Source organism: Homo sapiens, chromosome 8, assembly GCF_000001405.40.
Source record: "Homo sapiens chromosome 8, GRCh38.p14 Primary Assembly".
NCBI classification, from domain to species: domain Eukaryota; kingdom Metazoa; phylum Chordata; class Mammalia; order Primates; family Hominidae; genus Homo; species Homo sapiens.
The window spans coordinates 15,886,584-15,890,331 of record NC_000008.11 but is presented as its reverse complement, the minus strand read 5'-3'; the positions used below and the strand labels follow the sequence as shown (position 1 = coordinate 15,890,331).

Sequence of the window (3,748 nt, the reverse complement as noted above, 5' to 3'; positions counted from 1 at the left end):
GCCTGGCCGTAGTTTTTATAATAATTCGGACATGCAGCCCTTTCGGAATTCCAATGAATTACATTTTATCTATCACCATAGGATTCTACACAGCTGGTTGCATGTTCTAGTTCATTCTAGATAATTCAATTCATAATTTTGCAGCTAATTCTGAATTATATGAATTATAAACTTGGGCCGCTATTAAACCCTTGTGGGTGCTCCCGTATCCTAAAATTAGGATGATAGTCAATATATTCATTTATACCAATTTGATTTTCTCAGCCTTAGAAAGTAGGTGTATTTCATATCATCTTTATTTTTGGAGGAGGAAATCTGCACGATTTAATGGCTGCCGAAATTCGTACTGCTAATGTGGTAGAGCCAGATTCTGATTCTGAAAGTCTAACTTTAGAACCTGCATTGAGAGCCACTCTTACGCACTGCCTCCCTGATTCGGAATGTATACACAGGTGATATAAATAAAATAAGCTCTTGGTGAAACAGAGCAGTTTTTTAAAAAGGCATCTCTGAAGAAATCACTAAGTTGAATTCAGTATATTATATTCCATTATATATTACAAATACATCTGCATGTTATACATACAGCTCTGAAGAAATCACTAAGTTGAGTTCAGTATATTATACTCCATTATATATTACAAATACATCTGCATGTTATACATACAGCCTACATGGAATTTCTAGTGAGACACAGAAAATGCAGTCATCAAAAATTCAACTTGCTTGATGTTTATGCTACTTGATTTTCCCCAGTTCCTACCTTTGTGTACGTCCTTTTTATTGGTATTCCCCTGCTCTGACATTTTTATTCCAAGCAAGTAGAAATGACAGCCAAAAAGCCTTGATGTATATGAGGCTTCAGAAGGAATTTTAAAAGGTTATTGGCCCATAGAACAGGAGGATTTGCACCTAAGTCGTATCAGGACTGAGGATCTGAAAGTGCTGCAAAGCCTGAATGTACTGGATGGCCAGCAAGTGCAACTTAGTGAAGATTTAGTATTAATACCATTGGGTCAGATAAATTATTCTGAGGCTTTATCAGTAACAGGAATCACTGTAAATAGGTTGCTGTTTTATCTCCCTTCTCTCTCCTCTGCTAATCCTACTAGATTAGAAATTTGCAGTCTCATCTAAATGCAAGTCTGCTGGAAAAGAGTTGCCATCTATGCTATACATTACTATATATGTAGTTTCTAGTGCTCAGATGCACATAAAGATTAATCAAAATATCTTGAATTGCCAATATTCAGGATCACAAATTTAACTGAAGTATGTATTCAATGCAGCAGGGATACTTATGAACAGATTTCTTTTTTCCACAGCTGAAATAAGTTTTCTGGTTTTTTTTTTTTCCTGAGACTAAAGGAGAGGAATGTCATTTCCTAGTCCTACTGCCATCTTAGAGTCTGTTCTTGTCTGTGAGAGGTCTCCAAGGCACACAGTTTCCACCTTGAGCAAGGGAAGGAGGGCTCTGCCCTCCAGGTTCATAGTGAAACCAGAGCTGCCTAGATGGAAGCAGGACTGCAGAGGGGCACGTCCTGAAGCTTCCATCCCACCCTCGACAGAGTCACTGAACTTCAAGACAGCAGAGTCCAAAGTGACTGTTCACTCCAAAGGAGGTCTAGCTTGTGAAAGTGATTGATTGATCATTTCTCTGTCAAATGCAATGGTAAATTTAAAGGAGAATGGAGCTATAATCCCAAAAGAAAAGTTAAACAGAAATTAACACAGTGAAAAAGCCACGAATTAGTGAGTCAAACTCACTAATTCAGAGAAAATCGAAAAAAAATCAAAACATTATCTAGCATGAAAACTTTAAAAGCAAATTTAAACACCCACAAATTGAAATTGATTGACTCAAATAGGTAACTTTTCAATTCATTTTGCTAGGGACATATACACATGAGCTAATAAAGAAATGCAAAATATTCTCCCAAAAAAAAAAATTTTTTTCAGAGAATCACGAAGGAAGTACACATCACTGCCTATAAAGCACTATCTTCAAAAAAATTGAAATTGAATCTGATCAGGTATCTAGATCTAACTGCCAGGTTACAGGAAATACAAAGCACAGAGACACGTGTTAAATGATAGCACAGAGATGAATGAGCAAAACCCAAACTGTGGGGGACACTGTCTGGCCGAGCTTCTTCAGCTTGGAAATTTCTGAAGGGGAAAAAAATGGAAAGAAAACTATAAAAGAGCCTTAAAAACCAAACTAAGCAATTTCAATATACTTTATAAAACTTATAAAACTTACTTTAACAACCTGTAAAAAAAAATCTGATAGGACATTTGAATGTTTGACTGGATATTTGATGCTATTAAGGAACGATTGTCAATGTTTTTAGCATGATAATGGTTTCCTTGCCTATGTTCTCTTCTGTCTCTCTCTGTCTCTCACTCTCTCTCTCTCTCCTCCTCCCTCCCTCCATTTTCTCTGACATTACATTTTTTACTTGTAGCATTTCCTTTTGGCTTTTTAAAAAATAATTTTGATCTTTGCCAAAATTGCACATCTGTTCATGCACACTCTCCACCTCTTTATTTAATCTGTTTTTCTTTTTAAAGCCCCTGTCTGATAGTTCCATTTGAGCCATCCCAGGTCTGATTTTATAGACCCTCTCGATGATGGGTCTAATTTTATTGCTTTTCTGTGGTGTTTCATAATGTTTTCTTGTATGTCAGACATTGTGTATAAAATAGTAAAAACTGAAGTCAAAAAGACACTCAGAAAAAGACACTCCTCTCCTGCGAAGCTGCTGGGGGAGGGGAGGAAGAAGGGTGTGGTCTTAGCTGAGCCAGCATCTTCTGTTCTTGAACTGGGAATGGGCCTTATCATTGCTTTAGTTAGATTCAGTGTCAGGTTGGCTGCTGATGGTAGGTGGGCAGGATCAGAAACGTCCCTTCAGCAGGGCTTGAAATCTGATTGGCCAGCGATCTCTTCTCAGTTCTTTTGCCCCTCCCTCAGCCTGCTGCAAGTCCAGGATATAAGGGGGCTGTCTGTTAGCTCTCACTTCCTCATTCTCTAGACTCAGCAAGGCCTGAAGGGATTGTCTCAGGCTCCTCCACTCCAGCCTTCTAAGGGCCCAAAGTGGTTCAGAGGGGACGCTCTCAGCGTTCCTTCTCTTCCAACAGCTGTGACAACCTCTGACTCATGCCTGGGACAATTTCTCTCAGTTCTGGTGTACCTCCAGTCCTCTGTGTGAGCACTTGATGAAGAACCCTGAGAAAGAGTGGACAGGTGAGCGTCATTCTTTTTGGCGGGGGCTTCTCGGGATTCTAAACTCTCAAGCCAGGTCACACTCAGCCTTTAACAAATGTTGTCATCAGCTGATTTCTTTTTAACCCCATCTACAGTGGTATTTTTTTTCCTCCTCCTGCTGCTCTGCCAAGCATGAAAGCAACCTTGGATCACTTCTGAAAGGAGCGCCCCATTGTCAATTACAGAATCCAAAATGGCAATATAAAAAAGGGAAAGAGAAAATTTTCAAAAGTTGCTTTTTGTTTTAAAATAAGACAGGAGTGTTTCTTAAGGGTTCTCATAATGGGAACATTGGAGAATGTAATAACAAAATAAGGATGTCCGCAACCACCTCAGAAACAATGATGAATTTCTGGCCGGGTGTGGTGGCTCATGTCTGTAATCCCAGCACTTTGGGAGGCTGAGGGGCGCGAATCACCTGAGGTCAAGAGTTTGAGACCAGCCTAGCCAACATGGTGGAAACCCTTCTCTACTAAAAAT

At 39.3% G+C, this 3,748-nt stretch overlaps 1 annotated feature.

Annotated features, from left to right (window-relative positions):
- Positions 1,025 to 1,225: a silencer, noted in NCBI's record as "peak6918 fragment used in MPRA reporter construct". NCBI's record gives its function as "represses an SCP1 promoter by STARR-seq MPRAs in K562 erythroleukemia cells {active_cell/tissue: K562}" and the evidence as "EXISTENCE:reporter gene assay evidence [ECO:0000049][PMID:32103011]".